General features: G+C 45.5%; 1 long non-coding RNA gene across 1 annotated transcript, besides 13 other annotated features; it reads left to right on the top strand.

Moving 5' to 3' along the window:
- Window positions 1,148-1,197: an enhancer, noted in NCBI's record as "active region_3689". NCBI's record gives its function as "activates an Ori minimal core promoter by ATAC-STARR-seq in GM12878 lymphoblastoid cells {active_cell/tissue: GM12878}" and the evidence as "EXISTENCE:reporter gene assay evidence [ECO:0000049][PMID:35858748]".
- Window positions 2,198-2,547: an enhancer, noted in NCBI's record as "active region_3688". NCBI's record gives its function as "activates an Ori minimal core promoter by ATAC-STARR-seq in GM12878 lymphoblastoid cells {active_cell/tissue: GM12878}" and the evidence as "EXISTENCE:reporter gene assay evidence [ECO:0000049][PMID:35858748]".
- LOC124902473 (uncharacterized) lies at window positions 12,085-13,292 on the top strand. Its single transcript, XR_007062221.1, has 2 exons — window positions 12,085-12,183; window positions 12,609-13,292. It is a non-coding gene; the product is annotated as an uncharacterized LOC124902473 (long non-coding RNA).
- Window positions 12,159-12,711: an enhancer, noted in NCBI's record as "H3K4me1 hESC enhancer chr10:88162319-88162871 (GRCh37/hg19 assembly coordinates)". NCBI's record gives its function as "activates a minimal SCP1, AML or CMV promoter by ChIP-STARR-seq in naive H9 embryonic stem cells {active_cell/tissue: H9 hESC(naive)}" and the evidence as "EXISTENCE:reporter gene assay evidence [ECO:0000049][PMID:30033119]".
- Window positions 13,512-14,505: an enhancer, noted in NCBI's record as "H3K27ac-H3K4me1 hESC enhancer chr10:88160525-88161518 (GRCh37/hg19 assembly coordinates)". NCBI's record gives its function as "activates a minimal SCP1, AML or CMV promoter by ChIP-STARR-seq in naive H9 embryonic stem cells {active_cell/tissue: H9 hESC(naive)}" and the evidence as "EXISTENCE:reporter gene assay evidence [ECO:0000049][PMID:30033119]".
- Window positions 13,773-13,832: a silencer, noted in NCBI's record as "silent region_2568". NCBI's record gives its function as "represses an Ori minimal core promoter by ATAC-STARR-seq in GM12878 lymphoblastoid cells {active_cell/tissue: GM12878}" and the evidence as "EXISTENCE:reporter gene assay evidence [ECO:0000049][PMID:35858748]".
- Window positions 13,953-14,002: a silencer, noted in NCBI's record as "silent region_2567". NCBI's record gives its function as "represses an Ori minimal core promoter by ATAC-STARR-seq in GM12878 lymphoblastoid cells {active_cell/tissue: GM12878}" and the evidence as "EXISTENCE:reporter gene assay evidence [ECO:0000049][PMID:35858748]".
- Window positions 14,073-14,122: a silencer, noted in NCBI's record as "silent region_2566". NCBI's record gives its function as "represses an Ori minimal core promoter by ATAC-STARR-seq in GM12878 lymphoblastoid cells {active_cell/tissue: GM12878}" and the evidence as "EXISTENCE:reporter gene assay evidence [ECO:0000049][PMID:35858748]".
- Window positions 14,506-15,499: an enhancer, noted in NCBI's record as "H3K27ac-H3K4me1 hESC enhancer chr10:88159531-88160524 (GRCh37/hg19 assembly coordinates)". NCBI's record gives its function as "activates a minimal SCP1, AML or CMV promoter by ChIP-STARR-seq in naive H9 embryonic stem cells {active_cell/tissue: H9 hESC(naive)}" and the evidence as "EXISTENCE:reporter gene assay evidence [ECO:0000049][PMID:30033119]".
- Window positions 14,813-14,862: a silencer, noted in NCBI's record as "silent region_2565". NCBI's record gives its function as "represses an Ori minimal core promoter by ATAC-STARR-seq in GM12878 lymphoblastoid cells {active_cell/tissue: GM12878}" and the evidence as "EXISTENCE:reporter gene assay evidence [ECO:0000049][PMID:35858748]".
- Window positions 14,873-15,102: a silencer, noted in NCBI's record as "silent region_2564". NCBI's record gives its function as "represses an Ori minimal core promoter by ATAC-STARR-seq in GM12878 lymphoblastoid cells {active_cell/tissue: GM12878}" and the evidence as "EXISTENCE:reporter gene assay evidence [ECO:0000049][PMID:35858748]".
- Window positions 15,107-15,401: an enhancer, noted in NCBI's record as "tiled region #13981; HepG2 Activating DNase unmatched - State 1:Tss, and K562 Activating DNase unmatched - State 4:PromP". NCBI's record gives its function as "activates a minimal TATA promoter and a strong SV40 promoter by Sharpr-MPRA in HepG2 and K562 cells {active_cell/tissue: HepG2 | K562}" and the evidence as "EXISTENCE:reporter gene assay evidence [ECO:0000049][PMID:27701403]".
- Window positions 15,253-15,302: an enhancer, noted in NCBI's record as "active region_3687". NCBI's record gives its function as "activates an Ori minimal core promoter by ATAC-STARR-seq in GM12878 lymphoblastoid cells {active_cell/tissue: GM12878}" and the evidence as "EXISTENCE:reporter gene assay evidence [ECO:0000049][PMID:35858748]".
- Window positions 15,393-15,442: an enhancer, noted in NCBI's record as "active region_3686". NCBI's record gives its function as "activates an Ori minimal core promoter by ATAC-STARR-seq in GM12878 lymphoblastoid cells {active_cell/tissue: GM12878}" and the evidence as "EXISTENCE:reporter gene assay evidence [ECO:0000049][PMID:35858748]".

Raw genomic sequence — 19,549 nt, 5'->3', positions numbered from 1 at the left:
TATTGGGGAGATATGTGTGCAGCACAGGAGAGGAAAATTCCAGTCTTCTAGGGCAGACAGTCAATGGAAAAGTCAAGAAAGAGCAGTATAAGCATATTGTTTAAAAATATGGAGTTGGCCGGGCTGGTGGCTCACACCTGTAATTCCAGCACTTTAGGAGGCCGAGGCAGGAGGATCACGAGGTCAGGAGATCGAGACCATCCTGGCTAACACGGTGAAACCCCGTCTCTACTAAAAATACAAAAAATTAGCCGGGCGTGGTGGCGGGCACCTGTAGTCCCAGCTACTCTGGAGGCTGAGGCAGGAGAATGGCGTGAACCCGGGAGGTGGAGCTTGCAGTGAGCCGAGATTGTGCCACTGCACTCCAGCCTGGGCAACAGAGCGAGACTCCAACTTGAAAAAAAAAAAATGGAGTTAAGGCCGGGCGCGGTGGCTCATGACTGTAATCCTAGCACTTTGGGAGGCCAAGGCAGGTGGATCACAAGATCAGGAGTTCGAGAGCAGCCTGACCAACATGGTGAAACCCCGTCTCTACTAAAAATACAAAAATTAGCCAGCTGTGGTGGCGGGCGCCTGTAATCCCAGCTACTCAGGTGGCTGAGGCAGGAGAATTGCTTGAAGAGAGGCAGAGGTTGCAGTAAGCTGAGATCACACCAATGCACTCCAGCCTGGGCAACAGAGCGAGACTCCGACTCAAAAATAAAATAAAATAAAATAAAAATAATGATAATAATAAAATAAAAATATGGAGTTAAATCAACTGGCAGAAAAAAAGCAGGTGCCAGGGCTGGAAGTGGGTGCTTCCCAGGAACAGAGCTCAATGGGGAACTGCAGAGCTAGGGGACCATTATTTTTAATTGTAAGCATTTTCACTGTAAAACGTTTGATTTTTAAAGATAAGCACACTTATTACTTCGATAGAGATAAAACTCAAGCCATAAAAGGAAAGTGAGGGGCCAGGCACAGTGGCTTGTGTCTAAAATCCCAGAGGCTAGGGTGGCTGAGGCAGGAGGAGCACTTGAGGCTAAGAGTTTGAGACAAACCTGGGTAGGATAGCAAGACCCTGTCTCTTCAAAAAATAATTTAAAAAAGATTTAATCAGGCATGGTGGCATGATCCTGTAGTCCCAACTTCTTTGGAGGCTGAGGAAGGAGGACTGCTCGAGCCCAGGAGGTTGAGGTTGCAGTGAGCCATGACTGTGCCACTGCACTCCAGCCTGGGTGACAGAACGAGACCCCAGCTCCTTTTTTTTTTTTTTTTGAGACGGGGTCTCGCTGCGATGCCCAGGCTGGAGTGCAATGGCGCCATCTTGGCTCACTGCAACCTCCGCCTCCTGGGATCAAGCGATTCTCCTGCCTCAGCCTCCCGAGTAGCTGGGATTACAGGCACACGTCACCATGCCCGGCTAATTTTTGTATTTTTAGTAGAAACAGGGTTTCACCATGTTGGCCAGGCTGGGCTCAAACTCCTGACCTTGGGTGATCCGCCCACCTCGGCCTCCCAAAATGCTGGGATTACAGGTGTGAGCCACTGCACCCGGCGGAGACCCCAACTCTTAAAAAAAAAAAAGAAAAAAATAAAGTGAGTGGCAGCTGGGACTGGCTTTGGGGTGGAAACCACATCCTGAGTTGAACCTTTAGACCATGGAGAAGTTTCTGAGGCACTTAAGCACGAATTTTTGCATGATTGGTCATGTGATGCATCACATAATTTTTGGTAACTAAACTGAAATAATAAAAAGTAAATTTGCAGGGTTTCAGTACTATAGTTGTCAGTACTGTACTTACATAGCACCCCATGGAAAATAAAACAAGACAAACCAAATATTACATAAGCACATATTGCTACTCTAACTTCTTCTGTTTTATGTTACTGTCATCCAAGGAGAAAATTTAAGCATAGCTTTCATAAAAATAGCTCGCCTGCACTGAACATGCGCTGTATATATGCCAGAGTCTGCAGAAACCACATCCTGCATTTAACCTTTGGATCACTGAACAGTTTCTGAAATGGTAAGCATGAATTACTGCACAATCCACCATGTCCAGACAGAAATAGTTAAAGTGGACTAATATTAAATATAGCATTTATTTTTAGGGTTGTAAGAGTGACGCAGAGAACCCATACACAAGAGAAACTAAAATGGAGTAAAGCAAACCATCTTACTTCAGCACCTGTTACTGTTCCAACGACTGCCTGATCACACCTCTCCAGCCCCGGATGATGTTCTGAGGAATGTTTTTAATTTTAATTGTGAACATTTACTGAGCACTTAGAATGTGCCTGGCAGTCTTCAATTATTTATTTATTTATTTAGAGACGGAGTCTGGCTTTGTCGCCCAGGCTGGAGTGCAGTGGTGTGATCTTGGTTCACTGCAGCCTCTGCTTCCCGGGTTCAAGCAATTCTCATGTTTCAGCCTCTTGAGTAGAGTAGCTGGGATTACAGGTGCCCACAACTATGCCTGGCTAATTTTTGTATTTCTAGTAGAGACGGGGTTTCTCCATGTTGGTCAGGCTGGTCTCGAACTCCAGACCTCAAGTGATCTGCCTGCCTCTGCCTCCCAAAGTGCTGGGATTACAGTTTGTGAGCCACCGTGCCTGGACTGTCTTCAATTTTTAGATACTTACAGAAGAGTTTATGTTTCAATTTTGGGTTTCCAGGTCTATGCATCAAGAGTTCATAATGTGTGAACAGACAAACTCTTACCTAATTTTCAAGGCAGTGTGAAGTTTGTAAAGAAACAACAGGTTTACTCTGGACACTGCCTGGAAGTGTATGAATTGTTTATAGCGGAGCATGTAGGTGTCTCATACACAGCAAATTAACATGATGGCATTTTAATCAAATCTTCTTCTATCTGGTCAAATGATGAGTACGGTGATATAATGTACTAAGGGTGAGCCACAGGTGTATACAGCTTGGCATGGGGAAAAAAAAGAACAACCAACCTCTTTACAAGGAACAGTGCCAGGTGCAGACAGCCCACAAAGGCCTGATTTCCTTTTTTTTTTTTTTTTAAGACAGAGTCTTGCTCTGTCACCCAGGCTGGGGTGCAGTGGTGTGATCATAGCTCACTGCAGCCTCAACATCCCTGGGCTCAAGCAATCCTCCTACCTCAGCCTCCTGAGTAGCTGAAATTACACGCATGCACCACCACGCCTGACTAACATTTTACTTTTTGTAGAGATGGGGTCTCACTATGTTGCCCAGGCTGATCTTGAACTCCTGGGCTCAAGTGATCCTCCTGCTTTGGTCTCCCAAAGTGTTGGGATTACAGGTGTGAGCCACGATGCCCGGCCAGGCCTGGTTTCATGACAGCTGATGAAGTGGATGGACAGGGCCAACTTTCTGCAGGGCTGGGTTGCACCATGCTCCAAGTGGGAGCCAATGTCTACTGAATACCTACTAGGTGGTTTATGTGCCCTGTCTCATTCATTGTCACTCCTCTTTTACAGCTGTGGGAACTGTGGCCTACAAGTTCCCAAGGATCACAGCTAGCAGATAAGGGCCCAGTCCATGCTTTACCTCAATTCTTCTAGTCTGGACTGTAACAGCAATGCTCCCTGCATCTGTGAGCTCACAGCTCTGAAGTGCACAGAATTTCCTGTCTGAGCACTGTGGGTGTTTCCTGAAATAATCTGCTGGGTCAGAGGCTGATGCATGCTGTCTGTGCAGTCTTTGACATTTATTTCTGTTTTGCTCCACCTCCGTTTGCACGGAGGCTTTGGATTTATGAAGATTTAGCCGGAATGGGAAATCCAGGAAGAAGCCGGGTGGAGTGGGAAAGTGTCAAGAGAAGCGACTGATTTATTTATCTAACCTGGGGTTACCCAAGATAGGGTTTTTTTTTCTCTTTCTTAACAATGACAATAAAATATTTTTAGCCCAGCTTTAGTCTCTTAGACTGCACACAATCCCCGTGCATTTCCTGAAGCCTGGTTCTTAGAAACACAGAGGACTCCTCACGCTGGTGTGGAACTCAGCATCCTGGTTTTAGTACCTGTTTATGTTTGTTATAGGGACAGTGGTAGCCACTATCTGAAAGTTTTACAAGAGCTCAATGGGAAAGGAGAGGATGTGTTCAGGCAATTCTTAACGAGCTGTTGAGAAGAGGGCAGAGAGTCAGAGAGAATTGGTAGATAACAGCTATTTCAAGGCCCACACAGGGAGGGAGGTGTGTTGGATCCTCCAGCCCTAGTTGAACCACCCGAGGACACCATGTGGAGAAGGATAAGCTATGCCCACTGAGCTCTGCCAAACTCCACAGAATCATGAGTAACAAATGCTGTTTTGACCAACCAAGTTTGGGTGTACTTTGTTACACAGCTATAGCTGACTGAGACAGATACTTATTAGGAAGAACCAAAATGAAGGGTTCACAGATTCACAGGCCATGGTCAGATTCAAGTCAGCTAAACTCATGAGATGGAAAAGGTCCACAGAAGAAAGGGCGAGAGGCTAAGGCAGGAGCAGAGATAAACTGAGTCAACATGAAGGGGAAGATAAAGCCAGTTCTGTTTCCGAGTCATCAGTCAGATGGCCTGATCCTTAGAGGAGAAGTTGGCATGATGTCTGCATGTGGCCGAAGTTCAAATAGTGTTTGTGGAATAAACAAATGAATTCATGAGGCAGTCAGCTTTTCTGTTCTACTTATCTTCATTCCTTCAGCAAAATACATTCCTCTCAACTGTGTCACCTGGTTTCTTATTTATCCTGTGAGCCATTTTTTTTTTTTTTTTGAAATGGAGTTTTGCTCTTGTTGCCCAGGCTGGAGTGCAGTGGCATTATCTCACCTCACTGCAACCTTCGCCTCCCGGCTTCAAGCAATTCTCCTGCCTTAGCCTCCCGAGTAGCTGAGATTACAGACATGTGCCGCCACGTCTGGCTAATTTTTTATTTTTAGTAGAGACGGGGTTTCACCATATTGTCCAGGTTGGTCTTGAACTCCTGACCTCAAGTGATCCACCCTCCTCGGCCTCCCAAAGTGCTGGGATTACAGGTGTGAGCCACTGCGCCCGGCCCTGTGAGTCATTTTATGCTCCTAATAATAGTGTCTTTGCTATATTTGTTCACTGTGATTCAAGTGGCTTTCCTTAGGCCAAATGTCAAGAAGTCCAAAATTCTTATACAGGGAATGCTGGGGAGGGGAAATTGGCTTGAAAGAGAGAACTAGTGGACTTAAAAAAAAAACAAAACACTATATAGTAGAATATGCAAATCTTAAATGTACAACTCAATAAAAATTTTCATATATATACACAATGTAACCACCACTCAGATCAATATCTAGAACATTTTCCATCATCCCAGAAGTTTCCCTCTTGTTTCTTCTCAGGCAAGACCTTTCCCCACTAAAAGGCAACCACTATTACAACTTCTACCATCATCGATTAATTCACCTGCTCTAGAACATCATATATATAGAACCATACAGCATGTATGTGTCTGACTTCTTTTGATCTACATAATGTTGGAGATTCATGCATGTCACTGTATCAGTAGTTTCTTCTTTTTAATTGTATAATAAATATACCACAATTTATTTACCTTGTTGGTAAACATTTAGTTTCTTTCCAATTTGGGGCTATTCTGAATAAAGCTATCATGAAGAGTTTCGTGTATGTCTTTTATAGATATATGTTCTAGATTGTTTCTAGTATGGGGCTATATGAATAAAGCTTTCATGAACAGTTGCATGCATGTCTTTTATAGCTATATGCACTAATTTCTTTTGGGTAAATAGGAGTGAAATTCTGGGTCATGGAGTTGGGCATATGTTTAACTTCAGTGGATATTGTCCAACTGTTTTCTGAAATAGAAACATGGATTACTCTCCCTCTGACAATTAATGATAATTTCCACCTGCTCCATAGCCTTGCTAGCACTTAATATTGTCAGACTTTTACATTTCAGCCGTCCTGTCTGGTATGTGGTGGCATCTCACTGTGGTTTTCATGTATATTTCTCCCATGAGTGATGAGGTTGAACACTTTTTCATGCACTTATTGGTCATTTGGATATCTTCTTTATGAAGTGTTTGTTCAAGCCATTTGCCTATTTTCTAATTGAGTTGTTTTTTAATTGCTATATAGGTGTTTTAAAATATATTTTGCATATGAATATTTTGTCAGATATGTGTGTTGACAACATGTTCTCCCAGTCACTGGCTTGCCTAATAATGATGTTTTTTGCTTAATGTAAGTACTTAATTTTAACGAATCAAGATTTACCTTTAAAAAAAAAATAGGCCGGGCGCGGTGGCTCACACCTGTAATCTTAGCACTTTGGGAGGCTGAGGTGGGTGGATCACCTGAGGTCAGGAGTTCAAGACCAGCCTGGCCAACATGGTGAAACCCGTCTCTACTAAAAATACGAAAATTAGCCAGGTGTAGTGGCATGTGTCTGTAATCCCAGCTACCTGGGAGACTGAGGCAAGAGACTTGCTGGAACCTGGGAGACAGAGGCTGCAGTGAGCCGAGCTGAGATCACACCACTGCACTCCAGCCTGGGTGACAAGAGTGAGTGAGACTCTGCCTCAAAAAAACAAACAAAAAACATTATAACTTACATATAACATATAACATATAACATATGTAAGTTATAATGATAATATAGTGAACATGGCAAGCCTGCCCCAAACTTCAGCTCTTGAATGTGACCATTTGGAGCAGCATGCCTCTCCCTTATGCCAACCCCTGCCTCCCTCTCTACTCTTCAGAGGTAACGACTATCTTAAATTTTGTGTTTATCATTTTCATGCTTTTAAAAATAGTGTTAGCTAACATGACTATATCTCTGCAATAGTCTAAATGTGTCTCCCAAAATATGTGAGGTGGGGCCTAATGGGAGGTGTTTAGGTCATTCGGCCTCTGACCTCACGATTGGATTAATGCTGCTATAAAAAGGGCTAGCATGCCAGGTTCTGTGGCTTATGACTGTAATCCCAGCACTTTGGGAGACTGAGGGGGGTGGATCACCTGAGGTCAGGAGTTCCATACCAGCCTGACCATTATGGTGAAACCCTGTCTCTAATAAAAATACAAAAATTAGCTGGGCGTGGTGGTGTGCGCCTGTAGTCCCAGCTACTTGGGAGGCTGAGACAAGAGAATCACTTGAACCTGGGAGGTGGATGTTGCAGTGAGCCAAGATTGCACCACTGCATGCCAGCCTGGGTGACACAGGAAGACTCCATCTCAAAAAAAAAAAAAAAAAGAAAAAGAAAAAAGGGCTAGCAGGAGTGGGTTTGTCCTTTTCCACCTTCTGCCATGTGAGGATGCAGCGTCCCTCCTCTCTGGAAGACACAGCAAGGTGCCATCTTGGAGCCAGAGACCAAACCAGCTGGTGCCTTGATCTTGGATTTCCCAGCCTCTAAAACTGTGAGAAATAAGTTCTTGTTCTTTATAAATAATCCAGCCTCAGATATTCTGTTACAGCAGCACAAAATGGACTAACATGATCTGTAAACAACATGTTGCTCGGTTTTGCCTGTTTTTGAGATGCATAAAAATAGTACCTTATAATGTGCTATCTTCTTAAGGATTTCTTTTTCTTCCTCACTCACTTTTATGTTTCTGAGATTTATCTTTATTGCAACATGTAGCTGTAGGTCATCCATCTCCACAGCTGGATAATATTTCATTACATGAAATTTCTACAGTTTATCTATGCAGTAGACCATCCATGGAAATATGGAATGTTCTCAGAATTTTTTTTTAATTATTATTATTATTTTTTGAGACAGAGTCTTACTCTGTTGCCCAGGCTGGGGTGCAGTTGTATGATCTCCCCTTACTGCCACCTCCGCATCCCAGGTTCAAGCGATTCTTATGCCTCAGCCTTCCGAGTAGCTGGGACTACAGGCGTGCACCACCATGCCTGGCTAATTTTTGCGTTTTTAGTAGAGATGGGGTTTTATCATATTGGCCAGGCTGGTCTCAAACTCCTGACCTCAAGTGATCCGCCCACCTCGGCCTCCCAAAGTGCTGGGATTACAGGTGTGAGCCACTGTGCCTGGCCCTCCGAAGATTTTTAATTTCAAAGAATTCTGTTATGATCTATTTTGTAAATATCTCCTCATGCATATGTACAAGAGTTTCTCTAGATAGATACCTAAGAGTGAAATATCTGGCTATAGGATGTGTGCATATTCAGTTTAAAATACTGTCAACTTGTTTTCCAAAGTGACTGTGCCAATTTATACTCCTATGTGTAGCTAAAGGCGTCCCTACTGCTCTATCTTTCCACCAACACTTTGAACAATCAGATTTGAAATCTTTTGCCAATTTGGTAGACATAAATTAGCATCTCAAGTGTCATCTTTATTTCCATTTTCCTGATTACTGATGAGGTTGAGCATATTTACAGACCACTGGTCTTTTGTCCATTTTTCTATTGAGTTGTTTATCTTTTTCTTATTGATTTTTTTTTTTTTTTTTTTAGACAGAGTCTCACTCTGTTGCCCAGGCTGGAATGCAATAGTATGATCTTGGCTTACTGCAACTTCTGTCTCCCGGGTTCAAGAGATTCTCGTGTCTCAGCCTTCTGGGTAGCTGGGGCTACAGGCACTTGACACCATGCCCGGCTAATTTTTGTATTTTTAGTAGAGACGGGGTTTCTCCATGTTGGCCAGGCTGGTCTTGAACTCCTGACCTCAAGTGATCTGCCTGCCTCGGCTTCCCAAAGTCCTGGGGTTACAGGCATGAGCCACCATGCCCAGCCTCTTATTGATTTTTATACTTACGTATTCTGAATATGATTTCCTTGTTGATTATAATGTTGTGAATATATTCTTCCAGTTTGTGGCTTGACTTTACACTTTCTGTACAGTGTCTTTTATGAAATAGAGCTTCTAAATTTTAATGCAGTTGCATTTATTAATCTTTTCTTTTCTTCTTATTCTTTTTTTGTTTTAAAATGACGATGAAATGTGCCTTCATGTTCTGGAAGGTTTTTTTTTTTTTTTTTTTTTTTTTTCCCCAGGCTAAAGTGCAGTGCCGTGATCTCGGCTTACTGCAACCTCTGTTTCCCAGGCTCAAGCAATCCTCCCACCTTAGCCTCCTGAGTAGTTGGAACTACCAGTGTGCAGGTGTGCATCAACATGCCTGGCTAATGTTTTTGTGTTTTTGTTCAGATGAGGTTTCGCCATGTTGCCCAGGCTGATCATGAATTCCAGGGCTCAAGTGATCCACCTGCCTCGGCCTCTCAAAGTGCTAGGATTATAGGTGTGAGCCATCGTACCCGGCCCAATCTTTTATGATTCCAATTTTTAATATATTATTTAATAAATCCTTCTCTACCGAAGTTGTTAAAACATTCTCCTACATTAGTTTCAAAAACTATTAAACTTTGATTTTCACATTTAAGTGATCTTTTTGAAATTATTTTTTGTATTAAAAATATAAATTTTGTGTTTTTTCCATATGAACAACCAATTGTCCCAGCACCATTTCTGTCCTTTCCCTGTTGGTCTTTGTGGTAGGCTGAACAATGGCTCTCCATAGATGTCCACATACTAATCTCTGTAACTGTGAATGTGTTACTTTTTAAGGAGAAAAGGAATCTGCAGGTATGATTAAGTTAAGGATCTTGAGAAGGGGAGATTATCTTGGATTACGTAGTGATCCCAGTATAATCAGAAGGTCCTCATTGGAGGGAGGCAGAGAAGTTAGAATCAGAGAAATGTAAAGACAGAAGTAGCTCAGGGGTTGAAGTGATGCACGTTAAAAATGGAGGAAGGGGTCACAAGCCAAGGAATGTAGGCTGGCTCTAGAAGCTGAAAAAGAATTCTTCCTTTGAACCTCCAAAAGGAACACAGCCCTGCAGACACATTAGAATTCTGGCCCCCAGAACTGCCTGATAATAAATGTGTATTGCTTTAAGTAACTAAATTGGTGGTAATTTGTTGCAGTAGCAATAGGGAACTAATAAAGTATTCAAAATCACCTTTGTTGGATGTCAAGTTTTCATATTTTTCTGAGGCTGCTTCTAGGTTCTCTATCCTGTTTCATTAGTCTATTATGTATCCTTCTGCCAACACCACACTCTTAGTTATAGTAGCTTCATTATAAATATTGACCTGGTAAATCAGGTCCTTTATCCTCCTCTTCCTACCTGTGTCATGGCTACTTGACTCTTCTTGGGCCTTTGCTTTTCTAGATAAATTTCTTTCTTTTTTTTTTTTTTGAGATGGAGTTTTGCTGTGTTTCCCAGGCTGGAGTGCAGTGGCACAATCTTGGCTCACTGCAACCTTTGCCTCCCAGGTTCAAGCAATTCTCCTGCCTCAGCCTCCCTCCCAAGTAGCTGGGATATATGCCACCATGACTGGTTAATTTTTGTATTTTTAGTAGAGACGGGGTTTCACCATGTTGGCCAGGCTTGTCTTGAACTCCTGACCTTGAGTGATTTGCCCCCCTCAGCCTCCCAAAGTGCTGGGATTACAGGCATGAGCCACCGTGCCCAGCCTCCAGATAAATTTCAGCATCTGCTTATCAAGTTCCTCAAATATGGCCATTGGGGTTTTTGTTTAGAATTACATAGATTCTAGAAATCAATTTGGGAAAAATTGACCTCATTTGGTATTGAGTTTTCTAAAAACACATTATACTCTTGTATTTATTTATGTCCTTCATATATTATAATAAAGTCTTTAAATTTTTTTCTTACACATCTTTTGTAAGACTTTTTCCTAGATACCTTGTATTTTTTTGTTACTAGTGGAAATAGTATTATTTTAAAAATTATACATAACATTTAAAAGATTATGCCTTCTAACTGCTGTTGTATAAAAATGCAATTGATTTTTATATAAGCTCTTAGTATAATAAATTATCTACAGATTTATTTGGTTTTCTATTAGATATGAATATCACCTGCATAATGAGTTTTATTTCTGGCTTTCCACTTTTTTATACGTCCATTTTCTTTTTCTTCTCTTACTGTGCTGGCTAGGATTGCCAGTATAATACTGAATAGAGATAGTGATAGAGGTCATCCTATATATACTTCTGGTTTAAAAATAATTTTGACATTTCTCATTGAGAATAATGTGTGATTTTTTTTTTTTTTTGCCCAGGCTGGAGTACAGTGGTGCTATGTTAGTCACTGCAACCTTCGCCTCCCAGGTTCAAGCAATTCTCCTGCCTCAGCTTCCCAAGTAGCTGGGGCTATAAGCGCCAGCCACCACTCCCAGCTAATTTTTGTATTTTTGCTAGAGATGGGGTTTCACTATGTTGGCCAGGCTGGTCTTGAACTCCTGGCCTCAGGTGATCCACCTGTCTCGGCCTCCCAAAGTGCTGAGATTACAGGCATGAGTTACCACACCTGGCCACGGGATGTTGATTTTTTAAAAACTCTTGTCCAGGCGTGGTGGCTCATGCCTGTAATCCCAGCACTTTGAGAGGCCAAGGTGGGTGAATCACCTGAGGTCAGGAGTTTGAGACCAGCCTAGCCAACATGGTGAAACCCCGTCTCTACTAAAAATACAAAAATCAGCTGGGTGTGGTGGCGGGTGCCTGTAGTCCTAGCTACTCGAGAGGCTGAGGTAGGAGAATTGCTTGAATCCAGGAGATGGAGGTTGCAGTGAGCCAAGATTGAGCCACTGCACTCCAGCCTGGGTGACACAGCCAGACTCCGTCTCAACAGCAACAACAACAACAACAACAACAACAACAACAACAACAACAACAACAACACCTGGTGTTGAAGTTTACCAAATGCCCAAGTTCATGCTTTTCTTTCAGTGAAGTGCACCAGTGTTTTCCAGTAAGAATGAGTTGTCCCTACTGTTGTCTTTGATTGTTTCTCTTTGGCATCTCTACCAAACCTGTCAGTCAATTTCTGAACTAATCTGCTTTGCCATAGCTCAGGAAGGGGCAGCCTTGGGTGACCTCACCCAAGAGTGGACACATGATCCAGTGTATTCATGGCCCAGTGCCGGCCAGTTATTTTAATGTCAAGATCCTTAACTGTGAGCAGAAGTGTGGAACACAGGAGCTTCCAGGTCACAGAGATGAGAGGTCAGAATTGGCTCCAGGGCAACGGAAGACCAGTGCAGGATGAAGTCACAGGGAACAGAAACCGGAGCCACAGAGGACAGGGTAGAGTCGCAGAAAGGAGAGACACACATACATGGAAAGAGGAGCTTTCTCCAATCTTAATGATTCCCAGCTCTCAGCCTCGTTTCTGTAAGACCTGGCTGGGCTTCATCTCTGCCCTTAAGGAAACTCCCCCTTCCTCCAGGCAGACTGAGTGGGCTTCCCCACGTGATTAAAGGAGCCACACCCATATCCCCTGGCACTGGCTTGCATACCACCTGTCCCATTGACCTCTGCTTTTCCATCCCCATCACCACATTCAGGTCCTTATCGTGCAGCACGAGGCGTCTCCTGCTCTTGGCAAATCAGTCTCTGGCTTGCCTTTAGGAAAATCACCTTCTCCAGACACAAATGTGGCTTTCTGCAGCCCAGCTCCAAAACCGCCCCTGCCCTTTGGATCACCCCGCCTCAGCTGCCAGCGCCCCTTGGAAGTCTGACCATCTCATCCTGGCATTCAAGGACCCACGTGATTCAGTCTCACTGCCTCTCAGAGTTATGTCTCTTTTTGGCTACAGGCAACCCAGCCTGCAAGCAAACTGTCCTGCTTTGGACCCTGCTGTGTCACTCTCCGCACCAGCCTTTGCCTCTGCTCTTCGCTCTATGAAGTCCTCCCAGGCTGCACGGAAGGACGACTTTCTCAGGTCTCTTAGGGATGGAGACTCAGGGACATCAGAACACATCTCAGCGGTGGTGACTAGTCCTCGGATTTCCTGCCATGGTGCTGCCATTCCCACCGCCCGTGCCCTCTGCCTAGGCTGTTCCTGCTGCACCGAACGCCTCCTCCTGCCACCGCCCTCCCTCCTTTCTTTAGAAGCCCCTGCCAGCACCTGAGCTCTCTGCTGATTGCTGTTCCTCCCAGTCTGTGGAAGCTTTGCCCATATGCTTTCCTTAAAAGGGTTCTGGGCAGGGCAGGCGCCCCCATTTCTCAGGGATCCCCTCCAGGACAACGCCTTTTCCTTGTGTCTTCAGCTCTCCTTACCAGATATCTATATATTTGTATATATTCAGTTTCACCAACAACGCATCAAGTACTTTTTTTTTTTTAAGTAAAGAACCGAAGTCATTGAACTGGAGTCCCATTGATTCCCTCCCCCTCGCCTCCCCAAATCTGGCACCTGCCCAAGGTATCCTCAGAACCATTTGGGGTGTCCTTTGGCATTGGATAATAGAAATAAAATTTTACCTCTTTCTACCATAAATTGTACCACGTTTTATGTATTGCTGACCCCCTTCATCTGATTTATTGCTGTTTATTTTAGAATATTTTCTCTTTGAAATTTTTTTTTCAGTAAAAAGTTATGACACCAAGCACAGTGCTCCGAAGGCGGAGGCGGATGAGCGCGGGAGGCCTTCCTTCGTCTCCGTAGGCGACGCCCTCCCACCCCTTCCCTTGTTCTCATGGCACTCCTAGCTACTGGCAAAGGTAGACGCGCCAGTTTCTGCTGCTCCCCCACGGAATGGAAGCCCCAGAGGGCAGGGACCTAGTCTGTCACGTCCCAGGCCTCACCCCAGCTCCTCTGAGGCCCGGGTGCTGGGTCGAGGCATATGCCGGGCTGCGCGGGTGGCGGGGGAGGGGGAGCCCTGGAGCGCGGCCCCAGTCCTGGGAGAGGTGTCCTTCGAGGAAAGGGACAGAAGAAAGTTGAGGACAGAGGTCCAAGGGGAAGAAAGAGGGAAAGGATCGGCGTGAGGAGGACGTCCGGGCGGGGTGGGGAGGGCCCCCCGCGGGGTCGGGCCCACGGGCTTTCTAGGGCGCGTCGCCGCTCAGGGCCACGGGTGTGCTGTCAGCTCCCGTCCGGCCGCCCGGACGCTGTAACCTCCTCCGAGGCTGGCCCTTCTGGCTCGAGACAAGCTCGGGCCTGGCACGGAGCAGCGGGAAGGGCGGGAGATTGCCCCTAGTGGACTCCAAGTCCAGCTCCTGTCCCTGGGCGCGTCTCGACACTTGCTGGGTCACGGAGGAAACCGGGTCTCGGACCCCAGCCAGCACGGGCGCCCCCCTCGGCTTCGCTCCCTTTACCCAGCGGTGGCCTCGGAGGCCCGGGTGGGGCGCGCCGCTCACCTGGAGAGGAGGCTAGGGGTCGGGGGGACACGCGCGCCCTTAGGCCCCACTCCTGTCTTCTGCCCTTTTTATTCTCCCCCGCACCCTGGGGCGGGCGGCGCGGGGCCAGGGTTTGCGAGTGTCACCTGCTTTGGTAAGTAGGTGGGCGAGTGACGCACCGCGGCGTCGGCGCCGCCTTCCAGGCGCTCTCTCTGCCTCCAGAGGCGCCGGCACTGCGGGGCCCCAGTCATGCCCGCTGCCTCAGTCTTCCAACCCGAAAAGTGGGTGGGCGAAGGAAAGCTCGGCCGAGCTGCGTCTCCAACTCCCTGCTCTCCCCTAGGGGAGCCCACCAGCTCCAATCGCGACCTCTTCTGTCCCCAAACCACAGACCCTAGCCCGCCTCGGGGACCCGGATATGGAAGGGGCGGTGGAGAGCCCTGGCCTTGATTCTCCCTGGGTCGGGAGGGCGTTCCGGCGGCCGTGGGGCTGCAGCCCTTCCTCCCCGCCTGGAAGGTGAGGGTGTGGGAGGAGCGGGAGGGGGCGAGGCCGACACAATCCCCGTGCGACCAGCGGCGGAGCCCAGAGCCAGGTTAGGAGCGCGCTCAGGCGAGCTCGGCGGAAGGCCGAGAAGGTTCATCGGAGGCGGCGGCGAGCCGAGACCAGGAGACAGACGGGGCGGGGTGACGAGGCGGGCCCCACCCCAGGAGCGCGGGGCCACACGGACACCGGCGGGCGGTCTTCCCCGGGATGCGCTGGGATTGCAGGCCTCCAGCGGCCCCGCCCGCCGCCTCCGCCCTCCCGCTCCTGAGCTGCCAATCCAGCGGGTTCTGCCGGTCCTCGGCCGTGCGTCTGGGGTCTGGATTCCCGGCTCCACTCGCCGTGAGCGCGCGTGTCAGCCGACTCGCCCCGGACCGCATGGTGCAGCTCCCGCAGGGCCGCAGCCGCGGGTCGTCGCTGATTGCCAGCTCCGCGCCCACTGCACCGCTGCGCGGCCGCCTAGGGCTCATTGCGCGGAAGTCGGCCTGGTCCCTCCCCTGGGCTGGATGGGCCCGCTCCTCCCGAGCGGTCGTGCTCTGAGTTGAATGCGATAGAGGCTTCTGGGCGCGTCGCGGGCTAGGTCCAGGAGCTGTGATCCTCTCCGAGGTCTCAGTGTGCCCGCAGCGCCCCCTGCAGTGCGTCTCCTGCAAGGGGCCCGGAACACATTCCTGTCCCCGCCAGGCCTGGAGGCCCGAGCGCCTGCTTTTCATCCACTCTGCCCACCCGCCTCTGCGGTCGGCTGCCTTGGGCGCTGGCCTTAGCAGTTCTGAGTTTGAATTCAATCGCCAATACACAGAAAGCCACACAAATGTGAAGATTTGTGAATTATTATCAAATGAACACCTTTGTAACCACTACCCAAGCCAAGAAACAGTACTTTCCCCCAGAATACCTTACCCGTGCTCCTTCCCGATTTCACTCGACTCCCTCCTTCCCAAAGTAGCCACTCTCCTGCCTTTCATAGTAATTACTTACCCGAGTTTTTAAAAAATTGTTGTCACCCAAGTTCGCCTCTCTAGAGGCTATAAATTAGACTTGCTCATTTTGTTAATATATTTTAAGTCTCTTTAATTTGTAGTTTCTTTCTCCATCACTTTCTTTTCCTTGCAATGTATCCTTGGAAGAATCTGAAGAGATTTCTAGTCTGGATTTCACTGATTGCATTCTCCTGGTGCAGTTCAACACATCTCCCTGTTTTCTGCATTTCCTGCAAATTGACAGCTGGATCCAAAGGCTTGATCAGACTCAGGTTCAAGATTTTTGGTGAGACTCCAGGTGGTGGAGTGCTGTTTTGTCAGGAGGCACATAATGTCTGGTTGTCTCTATTTTTTGAGATCTGAGGAGAGACGATGTCCAATGCTTACATTCATTAATTCACTGGGGGATGAAAATGGTGATATACTAATTATATAATTTATTTTTCATTTATCATCTGGGTTGATTTTATAAAGAGACTCTTCTCCTCATCTGCTATTTGGTTACCCAGTGGAACCGTTCACAGAGGAAAGGCGGGTAAATGCTTGTTTCTTTGCATTTATTTATCCGTTTTCAAGATGACGAATTGCTACCCTGTCATCCTCCCAAAATGAAGAGTTAAAAAAATATACCATCACGATGCCAAGGATTTAAATGTGCTAGATGGATTTCAATACGTTGCAGTTACTGTCAGTAGTAACATACAAATTGTCCCCTCTTTGGGCAGCTGGAGCCCTTCAGGTTAATCCTTGGGTCCTTTAGATGTGACCCTAGTAGCCTTTGAACACTTCCTTGTTATCTGGAATGACAAGACATCTTACCAGTTTGGGGTGCTAGGAATCCTCTTCACTTCTTGGTTGATCTTTGTTTCTAGGTCTTTTCAATGGAGGAGCTGTAAATTACATATATGATAAAATACACTGGGAATTTATACTGATGTAACTACGTTAAGTGGAGGACTTCTTGATTACACCTGTATTTCTTTTCTTCCACACTGGGAATCCTGGTTCTTAAGGACACCAGGAATAACTGAATTAGAATCCAATTAGTCATTTGTTTTATTTCAATTTATATACTTACAGGTTCAGAATAACAATATCAATACCATAACTAGCTATAATTTCTGAAAACACCTAAAACTTTTTCTTTCTGCATATGTTATTTTTATCCCCCCCATTTTTTTTTTTTTTTTTTTGAGACAGAGTCTTGCTCTGTTGCCCAGGCTGGAGTGCAGTGGCACAATCTTGGCTCACTGCAACCTCTGCCTCCTGGGTTCAAGCGATTCTCCTGCCTCAGTCTCCCGAGTAGCTGGGATTACAGGCACATGCCACCATGCCTGGCTAATTTTTGTATTTTTAGTAGAGACAGGGTTTCACCATGTTGGCTAGGCTGGTCTCAAACCCCTGAACTCAGGTGTTCTGCCCTCCTTGGCCTCCCAAAGTGCTGGGATTACAGGCGTGAGCCACTGTACCCAGCCTACCCCCTATTTTTGTTTGTACTCTACATTCTCAGATGGTAAAGCCATTAGATAGCATAATCTCTCTTTTTAAACCCTCATTTAGTCTTCACTCCACAAATAACTATACATTTGTTAATCATCACCAATCATTAATGTGATGTTTCTCTAGTTATTTTGGTCTCTGCGACTGGTGCTTTAGTAGATCCTCAAGAAGGGCTATGGACCGTGTTACTGTTTCACTATAATAAAGACAGGATCAGCATCACTGATTATTCCTTTGGCCTCAGGCTCCAGTATGGTTCAGTACAAGACTATTAATATCCTATCTTTATTTAAAAGGTTGATATTTTGTTCATCCTGGATTTTTTGGCATTGAATTTTGTTTAAAAAATTATTGCATTAAAATCTCATTTTCTGCATCCCTTAACTGTTTAGTATGCTCTGAAATTCTTTGCTGCAAGCCAGGACCTTTCTTTGCTCACCTGCCTCACCCTGGTTGGAGATGAGTTGAAGCTCCTATTTTTCTCATCCTGTTAAAAAAAAGAAAAAAGAACTCTGCGGGCGAGTTTAAAGAGACTGGGTCTCACTATGTGGCCAAGAGTGGTCTCAAAATCCTGGCCTCAAGCAATCCTCCCCCCTTGGCCTCCCAAATTGCTGGGATTACAGGCATGAGCCACCATGCCTGGCCCCTGCTTAATTTTGATTCAATTTCCAGCAGTTGCTGTCCATTGTGGGGTGCAGTCCGGAAGGGAGCCCTCGCAGATCAGTGAGAGAATTCACAGACCTTCAGATCTTACCGCAGATCTGGTAAGATCTGGAGTGAGACAAACTGCTGGTTCTCACCCGGCCCCTGCACTGTGGATGAACAGGGCCCTCAGGTGCCCAGGTAACCTGTTGCTTCCCTCGGCTTTCCCCCAGCGCATGCTGATGCTGTGCAGGTGTCATGGTTGTTGTCCACCCACTTGCATTTTGTGGTGACAGGATAACCTATCACTTAGTTTTGTTGCAATGTTGTCCACGGGTTTTGGTTTTAATGTCTTGTTGCTCTGACTATAATTATGTGGGGATTCAGAAAGCACAAAGTTATGTTTTCACCACCACTGCCATTTTTCAGATTAAATTTAATGTATTTTAAAAAGGACACTTTGTTTTATTGATATATGATGGTTGTATATATTTTGAGGGTACACCCAATAGTTTGATACATGTATACAATGTGTAATGATCAAATTCAGGTAATTGGATTATATATCACCTCAAACATTTTTCTTTGTGTTGGAAACATTCCAATTCTTCTCTTCTAGCTATTTTGGAATATATAATCAATTATTGTTAACTATAGTCACCCTACTGTACTATCAAACACTAGAACTTATTTCTTTTAACTGTATATTTGTATTCACTAACCAACTTTTCATTATCTCTTCTCCCTTCTACCCTTCTCAGGCCCTGGTAAGCATCATTCTACTCCATGCCTCCGTAAGATCCACTTTTTTAGCTCCCACATTTGAGTGAGAACATGTGATATTTGTATTTTTGTACCTGTTTATTTCACTCAACATAATGAACTCCAGCTCCATCCATGTTGCTACAAATGAAAGGATATTATTCTGTTTTATGGCCAAATAATGTTTCTTTGTGTATATATACCACATTTTCCTTATCCATTCATTCATTGGTGGATTCTTAGGTTGATTTCACTTCTTGACTAATATGAACAGTGCTGTAATAAACATGGGAGTGCAGATAGTTCTTAGGTTTACTGATTTCCTGTCTTTTGGATATATCCAGCAGTGGGATTGCTAGATCATATGGTAGTTCTACTTTTAGTTTTTTGAAGCGCCTCCATACTGTTGTTCATAGTGGCTGTCCTAGTTTATATTCCCACTAACAGTGTATGAGTGTTCCCCTTTCTCCGAATCCTTGCCAACGTCTGTTATTTTTTGTCTTTTTGATAATAGCCGTTCTAACTTGGGTGAGATGGTATCTCATCATGGTTTGATTTGCATTTCCTTGATGATTAGTGATATTGAACATTTTTTCATATACCTGCTGACCGTTTGTATGCCTTCTTTTGGGAAATGTCTATTCAGGTCTTTTGTTCATTTTAAAAATGAAGTTATTTGTTTAAAAAGGATACTTTGAATCCAGGCACAGTGGCTCACACCTGTAATCTCAGCACTTTGGGAGGCTGAAGCGGGCGGATCACTTGAGGTCAGGAGTTCAAGACCAGCCTGGCCAACATGGGGGAAATCCCATCTCTACTAAAAATACAAAAATTAGCCGGGTGTAGTGGTGGGCGCCTGTAATCCCAGCTACCTGGGAGGCTGAGGCAGGAGAATCTCTTGAACTTGGGAGGTGGAGGTTGCAGTGAGTTGAGATCACACCACTGCACTCCAGCTTGGGTGGCAGAAAGAAACTCCATCTCAAATAAATAAAATATAGGCTGG

Source organism: Homo sapiens, chromosome 10, assembly GCF_000001405.40.
Source record: "Homo sapiens chromosome 10, GRCh38.p14 Primary Assembly".
NCBI classification, from domain to species: domain Eukaryota; kingdom Metazoa; phylum Chordata; class Mammalia; order Primates; family Hominidae; genus Homo; species Homo sapiens.
This window is presented reverse-complemented; position numbering and strand designations above follow the sequence as displayed.